Genomic DNA, 23,459 nt, shown 5'->3' with positions numbered 1-23,459 from the left:
AATCCTTCATTTACTCGTCTCTCTCCCGTTATACTGAGAGCCTTTGTTCTGTCCAAATGGGGCACTTTTTCCTAAACATAGTAATTTAGCAAATTAAAAGATAGAATGCATGCTACAAGTAAGCCTGAACCAAGAATATTTCCCTTCACACCCATCCCTTTATTTTACGACTGCCATGTCTGTTTCTTCTTAACAGTTAAAACTCATGAGTGATACTTCCCAGTGGTTATGAATAAGACCTTTTCAGTGAGACAGATGTGTGTTTGAATCCTGGATTTGTGCTTACAATCTGTTTACTCTACGCAAATTGCATAACCTTTCCAATCCTCAGTGTCTTCTCTTAAAACAAGTATATATTAATACCTAGCTTATAAGATGTTATGTAGTAATATTTATAAAGTATTTAGCTCTATGCTTGGTGCAGTGTAAGCCTTCGATAATTGAGTCATGTTAATGAGCATGACAGTTACTTACTTGCCTTCCATCGTAGTTTTTTGTGGGTCTTATTTCCTGTTGTCAGCTCTTGGAAGGTGCTACTGCTTATTTTCTTGCTTTGTTTGGTACACAACACATAATAAGAACCCTACCGAATAATAGATGAATAAAACAGGTGTTTTATACACATATAATAGAGCATTGTCTTCTGGGTCTTGTTCTTGCTGTCCAGTAGCTCACTCTAATTGAGATCAGCATGTAAGTATGAAGCATCACGTAAGTGAAAAAATATACAGGTTGAGTATCCCTTATCCAGAATGCTTGGGACTGGAAGTGTTTTGGATTTTGGATTTTTTTTTTTTTTTTTTTTGGAATATTTGCATTACTGGCTGAGCATCCCAAATCTGAAATCCAAAATGCTCCAATGAGCATGTTTTTTGAGAGTCATGTCGGCACTCAAAAAGTTTTTGGATTTTGAAACATTGCACATTTTCGGATTTGAGAATGTTCTTCCTGTACCATCTGCTAGTGTTTTTTTTTCCATTTGTGACAAATTATTTTAGTCTCTTAATTGATAGTGCCTCCTGCCTCAAAACATGAAACAAATTGCAAGGTGTAAGGACTTTATTGATGATATGAGCTAATCATGGTGGGTGGATAGGGAGAATTTATGAGTGTCAATGTTATGAACAGACTGAACGGTTTAAAACTTTCTTAAGAGTTTTTAATTGAGGAATTTCATAGCACTTTTTATTAGTATATTAACTGTTATTCTATCTCAAAAAAATAAATTATTTATGGGTATTGGGGAATTTTGGAGGGGCTAAATGCTAATTGCACTATTTTAAAACTCAAACAGCACAAAAACTAAAGAATAAAGCAGAAAGTGTAATTCACTTGTTCTGCTCCCAAGAGAATAAAAACACTGTGAAAGTTTGAAATGATAGAAATTGCTTTAAACAAAAATTGATACTTTTTCTTTTACAAAAGTGAGTTCATATGCTGTATCAGTGTTTTATGTAGCTCTACATGATCATTTACAATATTTTTAATTTGCAAAATTGAAAAATTTATTCTAGATTATAAAAGTAATAACCATTTTTTGTTAAATACTCAAGCATTATAGAATTAAATCAGGTATAAAGTGGAAAACTGACTGTAATCCTTCTTTACAGATTTGTGGGTTTTTTTGGTTGGTTTGTTTGAGGTGGAGTCTTGCCCTGTCACTCAGGCTGGAGTGCAGTGAGGCAATCTCAGCTCATTGCAACCTCTGCCTCCTGGGTTGAAGCAATTCTCGTGCCTCAGCCTCCCAAGTAGCTGGGATTACAGGTACCTGCCACCACATCCAGCTAATTTTTGTATTTCTAGTAGAGATGAGGGCTTTTTTTTTTTTTTTTTTGAGTCAGGGTCTTGCCCTGTCACACAGGCTGGAGTGCAGTGGTGTGGTCTCGGTTCACTGCAGCCTCCTTAGCTAGGACTACAGGCATGCGCCACCATGCCCAGCTGATTTTTGTATTTTTAGTAGAGACAAGGGTCTCACCATGTTGGCCAGGGTGGTCTCAAACTCCTGACCTCAGGTGATCTGCCTACCTCGACCTCCCAAAGTGCTGGGATTACAGGCTTCAGCCACTGTACCCAGCCTCAGATTTGTTTTTATGAGGAAGTTGAGGGTCAATGTGAGTGTATATGTGTGTTTGAGCTAAAATTTTTATAATACTCTGTATTATTTTATAACTTGCACTTTTCTTTATCTTTTGGATATCTTTTCATGTCTGTGCGTATAGGTTTTTTTTGTTTGTTTGTTTTTTGAGACAGAGTCTCGCTCTGTCGCCCAGGCTGGAGTGCAGTGGCACAGTCTCCGCTCACTGCAAACTCCGCCTCCCAGGTTCACATCATTCTCCTGCCTCAGCCTCCCAAGTAGCTGGGACTACAGACACCTGCCACCACGCCCGGCTAATTTTTTTGTATTTTTAGTAGAGACGGGGTTTCACTATGTTAGCCAGAATGGTCTCGATCTCCTGACCTTGTGATCCACCCACCTCAGCCTCCCAAAGTGCTGGGATTACAGGCGTGAGCCACTATGCCCGGCCGCATCATTGTTTTTTAATGGTTTCATAGTATTTCATAGTATGGCTATATTTTTTTACATATATTTTATTTTTCTCATTTGTATAAAGTTCAGATTTATCCATTGTTGCTTTAATTTGTGTTTCAGTCATTGGTTAGATTAAACTTCTTTTCCTGATATGTTAACTATTTTGAACTTCTTTTATATATTGTTTGTTCTTGCCCTGTTCCTATTTTATTAAAAAAGAACAAATAATTTTCTCCAAGTCTGTTTGCATTTCAGTTTTTTGAGGCGAAGAGAGGCATTACAAATGATGATCATTATGTCCTTTTCTTTCAAATGTTTGTATCTCATTTCTTGTTTCTCTTTGCAATACTAGTAGGTTCTCTAGTACTTCAGGGATTCACACAATGAAGAATTTTTGAAAGAGCAGAAATTCCAGTTCTAAATGAATGATTTTGAGTTTAAGGTTCTACATAAAATGTCATTAGAAAATAAATGGCAAAGTTTTAAAAAGTAGATTAAAAGTAGTTTCCCAGCCAAGTTTTCTGTTTGTCAGGAGGAGATGTTGAATTTTATCAGACCTTTTTCTAGCATTTCTTCCCTTCAAAATATAATTGTGTTATGTGATGTATATGTAGAGAGGTTCATTATACTATTCACTCTGCTTTTGTGTTTGTTGGAAATTTTCTGTGTAATAAAATAAATTTTAACGTAGTTGATCCTCATTATTCGTGGACTGCATATTCGCAAATTCACCTACTGGCTAAAATGTATTTATAACCCCAGAACACTTGCAGCACTTTTGTGGTCATTCTCAGTCATGCCAGACCTGTACATGTGCAGAGTGGCAGAGTATTTGCGTCATCCAGTACACACATTCCCAATTAAAGTCAAACACAGTAATGTTCTGCCTTCTTGTTTCAGCTCTCATACTGTAAATAAGCGTCCCTTTCACAGTCTCTTTAATGCCACATTTATGCCTTTTAAAAAAGGACTTTTAAAAACTTTTGTGTGGGTACATAGTAGGTGTATATATTTTTGGGGTACATAATAGGTGTATATATTTATGAGGTACTTGAAATATTTTGAAACAGGCATGCAGTGTGTAATAATCACATCATAGAAGATTGGGTATGCATCCCCTCAAGCATTTATTCTTTGTGTTACATACAATCCAGTTATATTCTTTTAATTATTTTTATTTTTTAAATTTTATTTATTTTTTGAGACAAGTATGGCCCAGGCTGGCGTGCAGCCGTGTGATCTCAACTCACTGCACCTGTGGCTCCTAGGCTCAAGCCATCCTCCCACAGCCTCCTGAGTAGCTGGGACTACAGGCACATGTCACCACGCCCAGCTAATTTTTATTTTTTATTTTTTCATTTTTTTTGTAAAGATGGGGTTTTGCCATGTTGCCCAGGCTGGTCTGAAACTCATGAGCTCAAGCTATCTATCCACCTCAGCCTCCCAAAGTGCTTGGATTACAGGTGTGAGCCACCACGACACCCAGTCATTCTTTTAGTTATTTTTAAATGTACAATTATTATTGGCTGTAGTCCCCCTGTTCTGCTATCAAATACTAGGTCTTACTCATTCTTTTTTTTTTTGGTACCCATTAATTTTCCCAGGGCCCCCCACCTTCAACCCCTATTACCCTTCCCAGCCTCTGTTAACTATCTTTCTATTCTCTATATCCATGAGTTCAATTGTTTTGATTTTAAGATCCCACAAGTAAGTGAGAATATGCGATGTTTGTCTTTCTGTGCCTGGCTTATTTCACTTAAAATGACCTCCAGTTCCATCTATGTTGTTGCAGATGATAGGATCTCATTCTTTTTTATGGCTGGATAGTACTCCATTGTGTATATGTAGCACATTTTCTTTATCCATTCATCTGTTGATGGATACTTAGGTTGCTTCCAAATATTGGCTGTTGTGAATGCTGCTGCAGTAAACATGAGAGTGCAGATATCTCTTCGATACACTGATTTCCTTTCTTTTGGGTATATACCCAACAGTGGGATTGCTGGATCATGTGGTAACTCTATTTTTAGTTTTTTGAGGAACCTCCAAACTGTTCTACATAGTGATTGTACTAATTTACATTCCCACCAGCAGTGTACCAGGGTTCCCCTTCCTCCACATCCTCACCAGCATTTGTTATTTGACTTTTTGATATAAGCCTTTTTAACTGAAAGGAGATGATACCTCATTGTAGTTTTGATTTGCATTCCTCTGAAGATCAGTGATGATGAGCACTTTTTCATATGCCTTTTTGCCATTTGTATGTCTTCTTTTGAGAAATGTCTATTTAAATCTTTTGCCCATTTTAAAATTGTATTAGATTTTTTTCCTGTAGAGTTGCTTGAGCTCCTTATGTATTCTGGTTAGTAATTCCTCGTCAGATGGGTAGTTTGTAAATACTTTGTCCCATTCTGTGGGTTGTCTCTTCACTTTGTTGATTGTTACCTTTACTGTGCAGAAGCTTTTTAACTTGATGTGATCCCATTTGTCCATTTCTACTTCAGTTGCCTGTGCTTGTGGAGTATTACTCAAGAAATTTTTGCCCAGACCAGTGTCCTAGAGGGTTTCCCCAATGTTTTCTTGTAGTATTATAGTTCAAAGTCTTAGATTTAAGTCTTCAATTCATTGTGATTGATTTTTATATAAGGTAAGAGATGGGATCAAGTTTTAGTCTTTTGCATATGGATATCCAGTTTTCCCAGCACCGTTTATTGAAAAGACTATTTTCCCCCATGTATGTTATTGGCACCTTTGTCAAAAATGAGTTTACTGTAGATGTGTGGATCTGCTTCTGGATTCTCTCTTCTGTTCCACTGGTCTGTGTGTCTGTTTTTATGCCAGTACCAAGTTGTTTTTGGTTACTATAGCTCCGTAGTATAATTTGAAGGTAAGTAGTGTGATTCCTCCAGTTTTATTATTTTTGCTCAGCATAGCTTTGGCTATTCTAGGTCTTTTGTGATTTCATGTAAATTTTAGGATTTTTTTTTCTATTTCTGTGGAGAATGTCATTGGCATTTTGATAGGGATTGCACTGAATATGTAGATTACTTTGAGTAGTATTTAACAATATTGATTCTTCCCATCCATGAACATGGAATATCTTTCCATTTTTTGTGTTTCCTCTTCAATTTCTTTCAATAGTGTTCTATAGTTTTTAGAGATCTTTCACTTCTTTGGTTAATTCCTAGGTGTTTAATTTTATTTGTGGTTATTGTATGTGGGATTACTTTTTTTTATTTCTTTTTCACATTGTTCACTATTGGCATATAGAAAAATGCTACTGACATTTATATGTTGATTTTGTATCCTTCAACTTTACTGATTACTGAATTTATCCGTTCTGATAGGTTTTGCTGGAGTCTTTAGGTTTTTCCAAATATAAGATCATAGCATCCACAAAAAAGGATAATTTTACTTCTTCCTTTCCAATTTGGATGCCCTTTATTTTTTTCTCTTATCTGATTGCTCTAGCTAAGATTTCTAGTCCTATGTTGAATAACAGTGGTGAAAATGAGCATCCTTGTCGTGTTCCAGATCTAAGAGAAAAGGATTTCAGTTTTTCCTCATTCAGTACAATACTAGCTGTGTGTCTGTCGTATATGGCTTTTATTATGTTAAGGTATGTTCCTTCTATGCCCAGTTTTTGGGGGGTTTTTATCATGAAGGGATTTGAACTTTATCAGCTGCTTTTTTAGCATCAGTTGGAAATGATCATATCGCTTTTGTCCTTCATCCTGTTGATACAATGTATTACATTGATTGATTTGTATATTTTGAACCTCCTTGCATCCCTGAGATAAATCCCACTTGGTCACGATGAATGATCTTTTTACCGTATTGTTGAATTTGGTTTGCTAGTATTTTGTTGAGGATTTTTGCATCAGTATTTATCAGAGATAGTGGTCTGTAGTTTTCTTTTTCTGATCTATCTTTGGTTTTGGTGCCAGGGTAATACTGGCCTCTTAGAATGAGTTTGGAAGTATTTTCTCTTCCTCTGTTTTTTGGAACAGTTTGAGTAGGATTGGTGTGAGTCCTTTAAATGTTTAGTAGAATTCAGCAGTAAAGCCATCAGGTCCTGGGCTTTTCTTTATTGGGAGACTTTTTATTACGGCTTTAATCTTGTTGTTTGTTACTGGTCTGCTCAGATTTTGGATTTCTTCATGGTTCAATCTTGGTAGGTTGTATGTGTCTAGAAATGTCCATTTCTTCTAGATTTTCCAACTTATTGGCATATATTGCTTATAGTAGCCACTAATCTTTTGAATTTCTATGGTATCAGTTGTAATGTCTCCTTTTTCATCTCTAATTTTATTTATTTAGGTCTTTTCTCTTTTTTCCTTAGTCTGGCTAAAAGCTTGTCATTTTTGTTTATCTTTTCAAAAAACCAACTTTTTGTTTCATTGATCTTTTATATTGTTTCCTTTATTTCAAATTCATTTATTTCTGCTCTGATCTTTATTAGTTCTTCTGATTTTGGGTTCAGTTTATACTTTTCTAGTTCTTTAAGATGCATTGTTAGGTTATTTGAAGTTCTTTTTTTAGGTAGATACTTATAATTTTCCTCTTAGTACAGCTTTCACTGTATCCCATATGTTTTGGCATGTTGTTTCCATTATCATTTGTTTCAAGAAATTTTTTGATTTCCTTAATTTCTTCATTGACCCACTGGTCATCCCAGAGCATATTGTTTAATTTCCATGTGTTTATATAGTTTCCAGAATTTCTCATTATTGATTTGTAGTGTTATTCTGTTGTGGTCCAAGAAGATGCTTAATGGGCTCTTTTTTTTTTTTTTTTTTTTTTTTGAGACAGGGTCTCACTATGTTGCCCAGGCTAGAGTACAGTGGTTATTCACAGGTATGATTGCAGCGCACTGCAGCCTCCAACTCTTGGCCTCATACAATCCTCCTGCCTCACCCTCCCAAGTAGCTGCGACTGTAGTTATGCACCACTGTGCCCAGCTTGCTTTTGCCTTTTAAAATGGCCCCAAGTATGGTTCTCAAATGTTTCTAAAGTTCGGAAGCACAAGAAGACTGTGCTGTTCCCTTAAGAAGAAAATACCTGTGTTTAGATATGCTTTGTTTAGGCATGAGTTACAGTGCCCTTGGCCATGAGTTAAGTGTTAATGGCTCACCAATATATATTAAGGTATCTTTAAACAGAAACACACACAAAAGAAGGTTATGTATTAATCAGTTGGCAAAAATATTGTGACCATAAGCGTGAAGAAACCTAACCCTAAACTTCCCTCAGGAGCAATGATTCAGTATGCCCTAATTCAGTATTGTGGCAGCTTTACAGAGCATAACTTCTATAAATAACAAGAATCAACTTTATGTAATTGCAGTGAGTGACAATAATGTATTTTATAACATTGAACCATTTTTAGATTCTTTGAATAAACTCAATTTGGCAAAGGTGCGGGTGGCTTTTTTTTTTTTAGTATAGTGCTTGTTTAACTTACTTTTTGTGGAATTTTGCATTTATAATCTGGTCTTCATCATTTTTAACTGGAAAATTCTATTCTAAGTTATAATACTTAATGTAAGTTACTCAAATAATACATTAATACTTGCACACGAATCTTTAAAAGAATACAGAAATAATGATACTCCCTTTTTTCTTCTATACTACCTATCCTCTGCCCCAACCTTTTCTATTCATTCTTTTTTTTATTATTCATTCTTAATTTGTTCTGTGTCTTTCCAAATCTTTATAATGCACGTATGTGCACATACACACCCACACACACAGTTTGTTTTATTTTGGATGTGTGTATGTTTAATATGTCTTGTTATACTTTACATATTATTTTTCAACTTTTTAAAATAATTAACAGTGTTTCTTGGAAACCCTTCCATGATAACTAGTTACAGATCTACACGAGGTAGTATTTCTCCAAGATGGGTGTATAGAAATGAAATTGCTGGGTTAAAGGGCATGCATATGCATTTTTAAAATTTCTAATACTAGATCATCCTCCCAAGAGGTTGTATTCAAATATATTCCCACAGGTATGTCACAGTACCACTTTCTCCACATCCTTGCTGCCATGGTTTCGTTATTTTTCCCATGCTATATTGAAACTTAATCCTGGTCAGGCACGGTGGCTCACATGTGTAATCCCAGCACCTTCAGGGGCTTAGGCAGGGTGGATCACTTGAATCCAGGAGTTCAAGACCAGCCTGGCCAACATGGTAAAACCCCATCTCTACTAAAAATACAAAAAATAGCCGGGCATCATGGCACACGCCTGTAATCCCAGCTACCTGGGAGTCTGAGGCATGAGAATCACTTGAACCCAGGAGGCGGAGGTTGCAGTGAGCTGAGATCGCACCACTACACTCCAGCCTGGGTGACAGAGTGAGACTCTGTCTCAAAAAAAAAAAAAAAAAAAAAGCTGAATCCCCAGTGTGGCATTGTTGAAAGGTGAGGCCTTTAAGAGGTGATTGGGTCATGAGGGCTCTACCCCCTTGAATGGATTATCACAGGAGTGGCATTAGTGACTTTATAAGGAGACCTAAACTAGCACACTCAGCTTTTCACCTTGATGCCCTCTGCCACCTTAGGGCTCTGCAGAGTCCCCACCAGCAAGAAGGCACTTACAAGTTGTGTCCCTTCAACTTTGGACTTCCCAGCCTCCAGAACTTTAAAAAAATAAGTTTGTTTCCATATAAATTACCCAATTTCAGATACTCTGTTACAAGCAACAGAAAACGTACTGAGACACTTGTCAGCAGTGATTGTCAGTGTTTTTTATTTCTGCCAATGTAGATTATCTTTATTTATTTTTTGAAACAGAGTCTTGCTCTGTTGCCCAGGCTGGAGTGCAGTGATATGATCTCAACTCACTGCAACCTCCACCTGCCGGGTTCAAGTGATTCTCCTGCCTTAGCCTCCCAAGTAGCTGGCTGGGACTACAGGCATGCACCACCATATCCAGCTAATTTTTATATTTTTAGTAGAGTCGGGGTTTCACCATTTTGGCCAGGCTAGTCTCAAACTCCTGACCTCAGGTGATCTGCCCACCTTGGCCTCCCAAAGTGCTGGGATTACAGATGTGAGCCACTGCCCCCGGCCGTAGATTGTGTTTAAGAATAAAATCTTGTGCTCTGAATTTGCAAAAACCCTGATTGCTAGTACCCTCTTCTTCCTATATCTTATGTACGAAAAATCATATCAATAAATATGACTTACTTGGGATCGTTTGTGTGCTTTAACCCCAGGAGTAATATATTAAAGCTGGGCTTCAAGAAACAACTCATGGTGGCAGTTTCTAGTAGAGCAAAGCCCTGAGAAACTGTGAATAAGGAAATGGAAGTGTCAAAATCCTAGTGTCAAAAGTATGACATTTAGAATCCTATAATGCAAAAATAAGAGTCTCTTCGTATAAAAAAACAAAACAAGAAAAGCCTGTATATTTTTTCCTTAAGGGCAGTGTTTCAGACATTTTTTAAAATGAAAATCAGATTTCTTATGGTAGGTTTATATATAACATCCCTAAAGTGAAGTGTTTTAAATAGGAGCAAGGAGAAATTTCTTACCTTAATGATATGCTTAAAATTAGTTTCTTTCAAGCGTGAAACATATGAGCATAAGTCTGCATATTGAAAGAGTAATTGGAATGTCTGTCATTCCTTTCAAATTTTATACGTACCATGTGGAAGGCACTGGCACAAAATAATTATTTCAGCACTATTCTTCCTAAAAACTTACTTACACTTCCAAAATAACTTCAACTTAAATCTATGCAGGAACATTTCAGGGGAAGCAATAAGTGGAAAATACTTCAGAACGTTGAGATCTTTGTTGTTTTAATCCCTAATTGATTAATACAAATCATGAAGGAAAATATTAAGGTTGGATATTAGGAAGTTAAGGTACATTATCTAAATAATGAATCCAGGGGGCTTAGCAAGCTAAAAGTCAGCAGGAAGAGATGAAAACATAGGATTGCCTCACATCTTTGATACTCTGGTTCTCCCATGAAGGCCTATTTCATTGCTGAGCCATCACCATAATGGAGCTGAGAAGAAACTTTTTGTCCTAACTACCTACCATGTTTGTTCTTCAGCTCAGAAATAAAGACTTCACGATAAAAAATTTCTGACTTTACATTTTTCTAAAACACTACATCCATATAAACTTAAGAAATAAACTGCTTCTTCTGAAAACTTAATCAAAATGCAGCACAAAGTTTTAAGTGTTAAGAATTTAAATTTAAAATATCAAAAGATAGACCAGGCTTGTAATCTCAACACTTTGGGAGGCTGAGGCAGGTGGATCACTTGAAGTCAGGAGTTCGAGACCAGCCTGACCAACATGGTGAAACTCCATCTCTACTAAAAAAATACAAAAATTAGTTAGGCATGGGATTACACGCTTGTAATCCCAGCTACTCGAGAGACTGAGGCAGGAGAATCACTTGAACCCAGGAGGCAGAGGTTGCAGTCATCGTGCCATTACTCTCCAGCCTGGACAACAGAGCAAGACTCTGTCTCAACAAAACAAAACAAAACAAAAACAAATAAAATATCAAAAGATAGTTCATTCAGCTGTTTTGAACACTGACTTTGTTTTCTATAAACTGTCTTTTGTGTTGGAAAGTTCCAAGAAGAAAGATTAATAATATTTAGCAGTTGATTAATCTGCCCTCTAAAGTTCATATACCAGCTTTTCAAGTGAGAACTTTTTACTAAACTGAGGAATTATATATTTGCTTCTTAAAATAGAAAGTAATTTATGGGTATGGTAAAAATAAAAATTCCAGTAGTAGAAAAAGATATGGAAATAGAGGTCTCACGATTCTCCTCCATCTCACCACAGTCTCTTCCCTGCAAAATAGCCACTGTTCTTTCTTGTGTGTTCTTGCAGAAAAAAAAAAAAAAATACATTTACAGACAGACAAAATATACATACAGACATGACCATATTTTTTGTTTTTTAAATTTGCACAAAAAGGATCATGTACACACTGCTCCTGTTTATCTCTCAGCATGTGGAAGGTAGTGCCTTGTAAAACATGGAACTAAGCTAATCATGCAGTAAGGTGTGTCACCAACCAGAGCCAAAGAAAGAACAATTTTGTTTCCTAATACATGACAAGAGCTTGGTCTCAAAAGTGCTTCATAGAGAAGTAGTCTGAGTGGACAGTTCTATTTACCAGGGAGCCAGTACTGATGGTTTGTTTGTTTGTTTGAGTCCTTTAAAAATCATTTTAAGTGGACCATCAAGGTTCTTGTATTTTAAAGTGCTTTGAACGTAGAAAGCTTGAGGACCATAGCATTAGTCACAAGTAGTTCTGTTTCAATTTCCTTAACATATATTCTAAAAAATGTATTTATTGAGTCAAAGATAACGTTTTTAAGCCTTTTAATGCTTATTGCCAAATTGTTCTCCAGAAGCATTACACAAATTTACCCTGCCTTCAGCAAGTTATAAAGGAACGGTTTTACGATTTTAATTCTCCCAAGCATTGAGTAATAATTCGATTTTATATTTTGTATTTTTTAAATCTTTGCTCATTTGAGAGGTAAATAATCTGTCGTTGTTTGCTTCAACTTGCATTACTTGCATTACCAGTAACATTTTTTTCCTTATACGGTATTTACTTACTATGGTTTTTTTCTTGTTCCTTCAGATTATCTGTTTTGGTCTATTGCCTGTTTATCTATTGGGATCTCAGTGTTCTTTTCTCATAAATCTTTAAGATCCTTATGTATTAAAAAGATTAATTTATATAGGTTATATGCTGTTCAGCACTTATTTTTTCTCAGTGTTATTGTTCCTTTGATTTATTTTGTATATAGATGTTCTTTCATTCTTAAACTTAGAAAGTTTTCCCTTCCTCCGTGATATAGTTTAATATTCAGTTCCATTTTTTACTCTGTATTCGTTGGGGTGTTTGTTTAAATTTCGTAATGTCCTGAATTCTGTTTAGAATTAGGATCTCCTTTATCTAATACGGTCTATTATCAATTTTTTCTTATGTTCTATTGATCTGGTTATTTTTGTACTGGCACACTTTTACATACTATATAGGTTTTTGTAAAACAATATGCTCATAGACTGTTCTCACTACTTCATTCCCTTCCTCCCCCATCTGTTGCCTTTTTTTAATAAGAAAAATTTTTTAGAATTAAATCTAATAAGCACAGTAAACATTTAAAGGGTATAGTGAACATTCTTCACTTCTTTTTTTTTTTTTTTTTTTTTTTGAGGTGGAGTCTTGCTCTGTTACCCAGGCTGGAGTGCAGTGACACGATCTCAGCTCATTGCAACCTCCGCCTGCTGGGTTCAAGCAATTCTCCTGCCTCAACCTCCCAAGTAGTTGGTATTACAGGCACCTGCCACCACGCCCGGCTAATATTTGCATTTTTAGTAGAGATGGGGTTTCACCACGTTGGCCAACCTAGTCTCGAACTCCTGACCTCAAGTGATCCGCCCACCTCGGCCTCCCAGAGTGCTGGGATTACAGGCGTGAGCCAACATGACTGGCCTTCACTTCACTTATAACCGTTGATTTTCTTTCTTTTCTCTAGCAGGCATGCAAATCTTAGGAGGTACATTTGCTCCTATGTTTAGCTGTCTAAAACTTCCCGGGTTCTACTTACTGCTTGTGTTTAATTTTGAACTTGGCCAAAATTTCCTTTCAGCCCTTACCTTTCTTCTGTACCTACCTGTGAGTGTATAGTTCTCTTAAAAAATTTTTATTCTGATTAGAAAAGTAGTGCATATTTATTGTAGAAAGTTCAGAAAATACAGAAAAATACAGGGACAGAACAATTTCCTATAATTTCACCATTCATTGGTAGCCACATTTTGGTGGTTTTTTTCCCCATATGATCAATCTTAATATACTTCTTACACAAACAAAATTGGGATTACACGTTACATATGGTTTTATCACTTTTTCCTCATGTAAGAGTCTATCATGATTTTCTAACAAATACTTACGTTCGTGTTCCCAGCGCCCTGCATACTTTTTGTATATAGTCATCCAGCTGTGAAAAAGGAATGATAATTAATCATCAAATAAGTAGTCAGTGGTAGTGGTGTTACTAATAATAGTCATTAAGGCCAGGCGCAGTGGCTCACGCCTGTAATCCCGGCACTTTGGGAGGCCAAGGCGGGTGGATCACCTGGGGTCACGAGTTCGAGACCAGCCTGACCAATATGGTGAAGCCCCCGTCTCTACTACAAATACAAAAATTAGCCAGGTGTGGTGGTAGGCACTTGTAGTCCCAGCTACTCAGGAGGCTGAGACAGGAGAATTGCTTGAACCCAGAAGGTGGAGGTTGCAGTGAGCCGAGATTATGCCATTGCATTCCAGCCTGGGCAACAGAGCGAGATGCCATCTCAAAAAAAAAAAAAGAAGTCATTAATAGGCCAGGCGCGATGGCTCACACCTGTAATCCCAGCACTTTGGGAGGCTGAGGTGGGTGGATCACCTGAGGTCAGGAGTTCGAGACCAGCCTGGCCAACATGGTGAAACCCCATCTCTGCTAAAAATACAAAAATTAGCTAGGCCTGGTGGCACGTGCCTGTAATCCCAGCTACACAAGAGGCTGAGGCAGGAGAATCGCTTGAACCCGGGGGGCGGAGGTTGCAGTGAGCTGAGGTAGCGCCATTGGACTCCAGCCTGGGCAACAAGAGCAAAACTCCATCTCAAAAAAAAAAAAAAGTCATTAATAGTTAACATTAATTGGGCTCCGTCTCAACTTTAAACATATTATAAAATCCTTATGATTATGAAAGAAAACCTCATGACTCTTACCGTCTCCATTTTCCAGATGAAGAACTGAGATATAAAGTGGTTTAATAATTTTCCCACAGGCCCCTTCATAGGAAGTGATAGGATATGATACCAGGCCTTTTGATTTCAAAGCTTTTACTTTTTTTTCTACCAGACACACTAATTGTTACCCCCTAGTGCCGACCCATAGACTTATCCTGTGCTCACCCTTTGTAAGTCCTTTAGAGTTCTCCATTCTTTCTCCAGGGTCTTTGTGTAGCACTGAAATTATCACTGGACAGCTTTGTGAGGCAGCTAGGTTGGTGCTGCTTCTGTCTGGACTATTAGAGTAGCTAATACACTCTGACTACATTATGGCTTAGCCTAGCACTGTCGTGTGCACATTACCTTCCATTTCACAGTAACATACTTTTCTAAGTGGGGTAACGTGGCTGTGGTTTCAGTAGTAGTTCCTAGGAAAATGTTATTTTTATTCATCTGCAAGTTTCTCTGTGGTAATAACCTTTGTCCTTCCAATATTTTAAAACTCCTTTGAATTTGTTTCCTGTATTAATACAACTTCGTTTTTTAGGATTTTACTTTGTGACTGGATCATCCTCCAAAGCAAAAGGGAAAATTAAGAGTGTTTTTTAGTGGTTAAAAACCTGCCAATCATATATGACTCTAAAGTCAATAGATTATGTCTGTGTTGACACTTTGTTTGCAACCTGTCTTTTTTAACTTGTGATTGCTATCTGATTTGCATTTCAAAATACTGTATGTTGAAAGTAGTAACTGTAAGTCTGCTTGCATTTTTGCTTTCCTTTTTCTTTCTTCTTTTGGTTAAGGCCCATTCTAAATGTAAAATATAATGCTCAGTTTAAAAAACAAAATCTTGTGATGTTTTACAAAACAATCTGATGTGTAAAGTGGTCTTGGAGAGATTAACCCATTTTTTATGAAGAAGTAATTTCCCAGAATTTGATCAGAGACTTAAGAAGGATCTGCTTTGGAGGAAAAAGGGATGTCACAAGGATACATAATAACGAAATATATTATGAATAATGTTTTTCAGAAGGTTAAGAATAAGGAGTAACAGTTCTTTATCAAAGAAGAAGGAATAAAGAGGCCCAGGATATGTAAAAATAAAACTGGTTATAGGGCTTGAAGAAAATGATCTTTAATAGACAATATAAGTTATTTGGAGTAAAAAAAAATGCGAGACTCATAAAATATGAAGGACTAGGAAGGTGATAAAGGAAAAATGAAGAACGTAGAACATGAAAGGCACTAGCCTGTCAATTTAAATGCTCTTTAAAATGTACTTTGGTAGGAAGAAACTCTGTAGATGGACCACCCCATAGTGTTTGTGTCCTTGTTTTTAAGCACTGTGTTAGCACTTTTGTGGTTGCAGTATTGAAACTTCCATAGTAGTACAGTGCCTTTGCATGTGGAATATACTAACTATTGAATGAATGTTGAAAGTGATCTCAAGTTACTTGAAATTTGTTTAATAAATCAATGCAATGACAAAATAATTTTCTTGATTTAGAAGTTTTTTTGAAATTGGTGATTTGCCTGTGTTCTTATAACAAGTTGAAAGCATTTCTTGTTACTCATCATAGGAACTTGAGTTTCTTTAAGGGTTGTCAGTTGAGTGTGAGTATTTTGTCTGTGGAAGCCAAATGGATAGTATACACATGCATGCGTGCCTGATGAGTATAGTAAATTTTGGCCCACTTTTAAAGTAGAGAGCATTTTCCTTCTTTGTAAAACCTGAAGTTGCGTGTCCTTAATACATTTGTGTTCTTTCTGTCTTTTTCAGGGAAACAGTGCTTCTTAGTCCTACGTCAGCAGCAGTTTAATGTCCAGGCTCTTGTGGCGGTGGGAGACCATGCAAGCAAGCAGATGGTTAAATTTGCTGCCAAGTAAGTAAGCAATTATATCCTGTTGTCAGAATAAACAATGGTGGGAACCAAGACTCCCAGGGGTTTGGACCATTTTCATACATTAACATCAATGCTTCGTTTGTTTAAAAATGTAGTTATTTAAATTGTCAGTTCAGTGTTGCTGAATACATTAAACTTACAAAAGAGAAAATATGGAGCACAGGCTTGAAATTCATTTGGAACTGCTGAAGCAGCACTCTCTACAGACAAGTCACATTTACTTTCAAGTAGAGTAACAAAAAGCCTGGCAGCCTCAACATAGCAGAGCAACTTTATTTTGTTGTGTTTGTTGAGCTTCATTTCCTCCCTCCTTCCCTCCCTCCCCCAGTTTGAGATTTGCATGTTGAGCAACAAGTTTTCTAACCAAAAAATAAAAGTATATAAAATAAAAGAATGTAGTTTGGCAAATGATTGCCTCCAGAAGGAAGTAAAACAAATGTTTTACAACTTTTAGCTTTGACACCAAAAGGGTTTAGGAGAAAAAAGGTAAAACTTGCTTTTTCCTCCTGTAAAAGTCTGGGCTGTCTGGCTCAGAGTTCCCGTAGAAGCAGCACATTGTTTTGTTCAGCTTGCAGGAGGCAGATATAGAGATAGAAGTGTGGTTGTGTGTGCAGTGGCTCTAAGGTGATGAGAGCTGTTTTACTTGGTAGTGGTGATGTGGCTAATTTTGTTTCATGTTTTTTTTCAATTTCATCAGAATTTTATTTCCATGATAATGATCTCAGAAAACATGAGAAAATGGATGGTCTTTGTGTTTTAAGTAATAAAGTAATTTCATAGTGTGTAAGTGTTTTTTAAAAGAAAGAATTCAATCAGAGTAAATGATATATTTTTTCTATTGATTTTTTTAAATGTTTGCTTTTTAGATGCATGCTTTCTAAGAATGAGTTAATACAGATGGAATTATGAATTTTAGAATTGGAAAGAAACTTAAAAATTATCTAATTCAATATCGTAATTTAGCTTTCAGCCCTCCCTGACCCTCTAGCACAATGTTATACATATAAAGGATGCTCAGCAGCTGGTTTTGGTTTAGATATTTATCAAATTACGTCATAGTAATACCTGCACTCGGATTTAAGAACTTAAGTGCCATGAATTGTATCGATTCATTGATGAGATCAGTAGTATTTTAATACTACTAATACAGTAGCCCCACCTCTCCCTATCTCCCAGTGCTGCCCAGAGATGACCACTTTTCTTCTACGTGTGTCTTCTGGTAATTAGGTTTGCTTGTTTCGTCTCCTGGTTAGAGTGTGTGCTTGTGGGGTGCATTTGTCTTCCAACCTTTTAAGGTTAGTGTGTATCCTATGAAGTCAAACATAAATGAGCTTGGTCCCTAGAAATTTTATCTGCACAGAGAACCTTCTATAAAAGAAAAAAAGATGGTCCTGGAAACCGCAGACATAGATGCTAAATTCTATTAAATATACTGAAAAATACTGGAAAAAAGTCAACCTCAAATCAACAAACAACTTTTGTATAATAATTTGGTTTTGAAAACTAATACATGAAGCCGACAGTTACATAGAGAATATATTTTTCCATTAAACTGCATTATAACCTCGGCGTTACATTCCTAAAGCTTCCAGTGGAAAAGCCTTTTGAAAATCCCAGTTACCCATAATATTCAGTGAGAGGCATTCTACTGACAAGTGGACGGTTAATCCATGTGATGTGTTTAGAAGCAGACACGTTAAAGTACTCCGCAAATAAGTTATTCCTATTATTTTGGATCTTCTCAGAAACTCCTGGGACTTGACTAAATAACAGCGATTGACTATATCAGATGTCAACCATAGCTTAATAGCTAAAAGAGCTACTTTCAAATGGTCTCCCAAACAGAACTTAGTTCACTAATGCCCTCATAAAATTAAAGAACATCTTTTTATCATTATTTTATTAAAGGCTTTCATCCAAATGGGATGATATACGGGCGATCTTTTTTTTTTTTTTTTTTTTTTTTTTTTTTTTTTTTTTTTTGAGACGGAGTTTCACTCTTGTTGCCCAGGCTGGAGTGCAATGGCGTGGTCTCCGCTCATCGCAACCTCCTACCCGGTTCAAGCAATTCTCCTGCCTCAGCCTCCCCAGTAGCTGGGATTACAGGCATATGCCACCACCATGCCCAGCTACTTTTGTATTTTTAGTAGAGACGAGGTTTCTCCATGTTGGTCAGGCTGGTCTTGAACTCCCAACCTCAGGTGATCCGCCCGCCTCAGCTGTTCAAAGTGCTGGGATTACAGGCATGAGCCACCGCAGCCGGCCATGGGTGATCTTTCTTTTAGACAAGGGAAGAATATAGGTAATTTAGCCTAGATTTTTTAATTCCTGAAGTGGAACTCCATAAGGATCTAGATGCAGTTCAGGCTTAACTAAATTGTGACTTGATTTTTTTTTTTTTAAGCAAAGGACATGCAGCTATTTTTAGTCCCTTTAAAAAATGGACTTTATATAAAGTAGCAATGTGTAGGAAAAGGTTGAGCTGTTCCAAATTATAAACCTTGTCACTGGTTATATGTAAGTGAATGGAGCCAATTTTATACAATAGGTTCAACATGTGGTACATAGATAACTATTATTAAACTTTTGGCACTAGCATGTTAAGGAATCGAGCCTGAATAATTACCAGTAGGTGGGTTAATGGCTTTTGCTATCTTGCGAAAAAGGAAAATTCTTATGGCTAAGACTCGTTGGCAAAAAATGATGAGTTTTTAGGTTTTGTAGTTGGTTAAGATAATTTTCTTAGGAACATGATTTTATGTTCCAGATGGGTCAGTCAGTTTGTCCTTTCTGTGTGATGTAACCTATACTTCTAAGATAGTTCAGAAATCCTGATCCTTCTTGGTAGGAGAAGTCTACTTTTAGACTTCGGCAAGAACTTTTTAGAACTTTTTTAGGGAAAAGATATATGGGGTTTTTCTTTGTCTTTTAAAATCCTTTTCCTAAAAATTGTTAACTGTGTTTTAGCGCATAAAATGGGTATGCGCTAAAATTGTGAAAGCAAAAATTAAGGTAGCTTTCATACATTTATCTTTGAGGTCACTTGTTTAGGCAGCAGATCACTAGTAGTATAACAGTTGGATGCAAGGAAAAATGTTTCTATTTCTAGTTCCAGTTAAGTTCAGATACTTGATAATTCATTTGATACAAATTTTAACTAACAATGCCACATTAACTTTCACATAAGTAAGACAGTTTTATAAAATGATTGACTGATACTTTATTTAAATTGTCATTCTTAGATTACTCTTTGCAGAATTTTGGTTAATTGTGAAGCTGAAATATCCTGACTCTACCTCAAAGTTAATGTTTTAGGTAACTGAACAGGTATTCTTCCCATTACTAGTATTGAAGTCAGAATACAGAAACAAATTAATTATGGAACTGGCTCTAAGGCTACAAGCTTTATAGAGTAAACCAAATGTCAGCAATTTAGTTTTAGTGAAATTAAAAATTAATATTACTTATTAATTTGAATTTTGTTTTTATTTAAAAATTTATTTCTATTTTAAAGTTAAGGGCTATAAGCATAAGCATTTACAGTAGTTTGGTATTTGTAGGTCTTTAAGTAACATGACAGAACTTATTTAAGTGATTAATGGGGTTTGCTGACATTTTTTATTCCACTAAAGAGAACCTATAGAGTAGTTTTAGAACTGCTGGTCTGTGCCTTGTTGAGTAGTGCATACTTCTCACCACGCTTATTTTGGATCAGCTGGGCATGGTGGCTCATGCCTGTAATCCCAGCAATTTGGGAGGCCAAAATGGGCCGTTCACTTGAACCCAGAAGTTTGAGACCAGCCTGGCCAACATGGCGAAACCCCATCTCTACCAAAAAAATTTTTTTTAAATTAGTCGGCCGAGCGTGGTGGCTCATACCTGTAATCCCAGTACTTTGGGAGGCCGAGGCGGGCAGATCACGAGGTCAGGAGATCAAGACCATCCTGGCTAACACCCGTCTCTACTAAAAATACAAAAAATTAGCCAGGCATGGTGGCGGGCACATGTAGTCCCAGCTACTCGGGAGGCTGAGGCAGGAGAATCGGTTGAACCCAGGAGGCGAAGGTTGCAGTGAGCCAAGATTGTGCCACTGCACTCCAGCCTGGGCGACAGAGCGAGACTCCGTCTCAAAAAAAAAAAAAATTAGTAGGATATGGCTGCATGCACCTGTAGTCGCATCTACTCTGGAGGCTGAGGTGGGAGAATCACCTGAGCCCAGGAGATCCAGGCTGCAGTGAGCTGTGATTGTGCCACCGCAGTCCAGCTTGGGCAACAGAGCAAGACTCTGGCTTAAAAAATAAGTTATCACAGGCCGGGCGCGGTTGGTCACACCTGTAATCCCAGCACTATGGAAGGCCAAGGTGGGTGTATCATCTGAGGTCAGGAGTTCAAGACCAACCTGGCCAACATGGTGAAACCCCGTCTCTACTAAAAATAAAAAAAAATAGCCAGGTGTGGTGGTAGGCGCCTCTAATCCCAGCTACTCGGGAAGCTGAGGCAGGAGAATTGCTGGAATCTGGGGGATGGAGGTTGCAGTGAGCCGAGATCACACCATTGCATTCCAGACTGGGCGACAGAGTAGGACTCCATCTCAAAAAAAATAAATAAATAAGTTATCATGGTTTAAAGAATGATTTAAATCTTTAATTTTTGCAAAGCATCAGTGGACAGATGGGTGTAATAGAGGTAGAGAGAACGCAAGGATTTAGTTCCCTACTGACTAGTGACAAAGAGTCCCTCATTGACCAAACTCTCCTCAGATTCCTTTGAAAGAACTTTCTGCTCCGGTAAGCCTCGACTTTTTTACTTCATGTTTATGCCTGCATTGTTCAGTTTTAGTAAGAATCCTGCTGAGTTGCTTTAACTATAACCCCTGTCATCCCCCCTCAGTATCTGATCACCCGCCATAGCTAATTGGGTTCCTTCTCCTCCACCATCCCTCAGGTGATGTCTGATCACCCTCGCCTGCCTTCAACAAGAATCCTGTTAGGTCATTTTAGCCAGAATCTTCTGTTTCTCCTGATGGCTCCTCTTAGTAATTTTCCATCCACTGACTCTATATTCCCATCTTTGGGTCTAAGTTTCCACTTGCCAATCGTGTATTCAAAGTTAAGCCTAGTTCTATACTCAGATCTCTTTTCCCCTATTGCAATAATCTTGAATAAAATTTGTTTTTACCACTTTAAGTATTGTCCATCTCTGGTTTTCCCTGACACAACCATGTGACTTCTTACATTGTTTACTGTTTGCTTATCTTAACTCATTCTTCAAAGCTAAGATGCTGATTCAAACACTTATTTCTACTTGCGTGAGAAATATAAAAGTCTGAGGTCTAGTGTGGTACTAATTCACTATAATTGAAAGAAGTGCTTGACCTATAAATGAAGCTTATGCTTACCTTAGAATTGAAACATATGGCTGGGCGTGGTGGCTCACACTTATAATCCCAGCACTTTGGGAAGCCAAAGCAGGCAGATCACTTGAGCCCAGAAGTTCAAAACCAGCCTGGGCAATATGGTGAAACATCATCTCTACCAAAAAAGTCAGAATAATTAGCCAGGCATGGTGGTGTGAGCCTGTAGTCCCCAGCTACCTGGGAGGCGAAGGTTGCAGTGAGCTGAGATTGTGCCACAGCACTCCAGCTTGTGTGACAGAGCGAGACCCTGTCTAAAAAAAAAAAAAAAAAAAAAAAAAAAAAAAAGATTTTTATTTTCAAAAGGTGGTGGTTTTATTATTTTTTGAAGTACTTACCTAATTTATTTTTGTTCTTTTGATGCTGTTTTAATTAGCAAATACGTGGTTTCTTGTGTTTGGGCATTTTGTACTTCTTTGCCTCAGTGAATTGTACATTTAATTTATAACATTGAAGCATTTTATGTTGGTGCATTATTTGAAGAACTGGTGTGTGACAACTTTATGGCATGCCTCTTTTCTAACTAATCTTTTTTCACCCCCCTTGCAAAGATTTAAAAATTACTCATTTGAATGTGGGTGGTTATGTAGATCTGTAAGTATATTTATCATTGAGTATATAGTAAGATTTAACACATTATTTCTGACAACCAGAAAGCTAAAAAATGTATCGGTTTTGCTGAAAATCTTTAATAGTCAAGTTTCTGTGTTAAAAATTTTAGTAGTTTTTGTTGATATAAGGATATATAAATACGCAAATGGAAAAACTTAATGTACATAGTGTCTCTTTCACCATTATTGACTTTTTTTTTTTTTTTTGGTGGTGGTAATAAATGGAAATAGTTTAGAAAAATATGAGCCGATGACTACCCAAAAATAAAATTTGGTCATCCCCCAGTCTCTACCAACTGCCAAGTTTATCCCTACTGTTAACAAGACAATCAGAATACATCAATATATAGGATTTCTGTTATATTTTAGGCCTTTATTGAGACTATCTAGTATAATGAAATACTTCAAGGTGCTTAAATCTGTGGTACCTAGAATGATGAGAAATAAAAGGTAACACTATTAGTGTAAAGGTTATGCTGCCCATCTTCTGTCATCTTGGGTTTATTGATAGATTATGTGAATAATGATGGGCTACTCTTCCTCGACCTCTGTAGCAGGTGTCATGTATTTTTTAGATGAAAGGTCATGGAAAACCCATCCCCTACCACATACCAGACTCGTTGCATGTGAAATATTATTTTTAATATTTAAGAAGCTTAATCTGAAATTAAAACTCAGTATAGTAACTACACTTGCTTTATTTTGCCACCTTTCCAGTGTCTAGCATGGATTTTTATGCTTATTTGGATGCCTCTTCTCTGTTAGTCCCTGTACCAGACCCAAAAGTTACAGTACAGTGGTCACCAGCATCTTCCCCAGTTGATGTACAGGGGAAATAACAGGTTCCCTTATAATAACTGACTCTTATTCTATACTAAGCGTGGAGCCACAAAGTGCCAGATTTTTTTCTCACTTGATCCACACAACAGCCCCATGAGGTGTAAATACTGTTTTTGTCTTTTTTTGTTTTGGGGCGGAGAGGAGGTTGGTTCTGTTCTCTCTCTCTTTTTTTTTTTTTTTTTTTTGGTTTTGTTTTTTTGGTTTTGTTTTTGTTTTCAGGTGAGGAAATCGAGATGTGAAATATTAAGTGTCTTGACTAAGGTCTCTTAGATTCTGGATTCACACTCTAGTCTCTGTGTCATCCTGCCTCTCTGAAATAGTGTGTAATGGTGTTAGATCAAAACCCTCCACATTATAGCTCCATTTAGAATACAGTTTGTTA

The 23,459-nt window shown here is 36.9% G+C and overlaps 1 protein-coding gene across 2 annotated transcripts in view, besides 2 other annotated features; it reads left to right on the top strand.

Annotated features, from left to right (window-relative positions):
• Positions 1-23,459, top strand: part of DARS1 (aspartyl-tRNA synthetase 1) — a 79,804-nt gene that overhangs the window by 8,097 nt on the left and 48,248 nt on the right. For both annotated transcript variants that reach the window (NM_001293312.1, NM_001349.4), the window contains one exon: positions 16,090-16,192. In NM_001293312.1, coding sequence (NP_001280241.1) covers positions 16,173-16,192 — 20 coding nt within the window. In that variant the 5' untranslated portion in view covers positions 16,090-16,172. The remainder of the gene's footprint in view (positions 1-16,089; positions 16,193-23,459) is intronic.
• Positions 16,126-16,627: an enhancer, noted in NCBI's record as "NANOG hESC enhancer chr2:136718531-136719032 (GRCh37/hg19 assembly coordinates)". NCBI's record gives its function as "activates a minimal SCP1, AML or CMV promoter by ChIP-STARR-seq in naive H9 embryonic stem cells {active_cell/tissue: H9 hESC(naive)}" and the evidence as "EXISTENCE:reporter gene assay evidence [ECO:0000049][PMID:30033119]".
• Positions 16,663-16,863: a silencer, noted in NCBI's record as "peak3879 fragment used in MPRA reporter construct". NCBI's record gives its function as "represses an SCP1 promoter by STARR-seq MPRAs in K562 erythroleukemia cells {active_cell/tissue: K562}" and the evidence as "EXISTENCE:reporter gene assay evidence [ECO:0000049][PMID:32103011]".

Source organism: Homo sapiens, chromosome 2 (genome assembly GCF_000001405.40).
Source record: "Homo sapiens chromosome 2, GRCh38.p14 Primary Assembly".
In the NCBI taxonomy this organism is placed as follows: domain Eukaryota; kingdom Metazoa; phylum Chordata; class Mammalia; order Primates; family Hominidae; genus Homo; species Homo sapiens.
The sequence above is the reverse complement of the archived record's forward strand: the minus strand, read 5'-3'. Positions and strand labels throughout refer to the sequence as shown.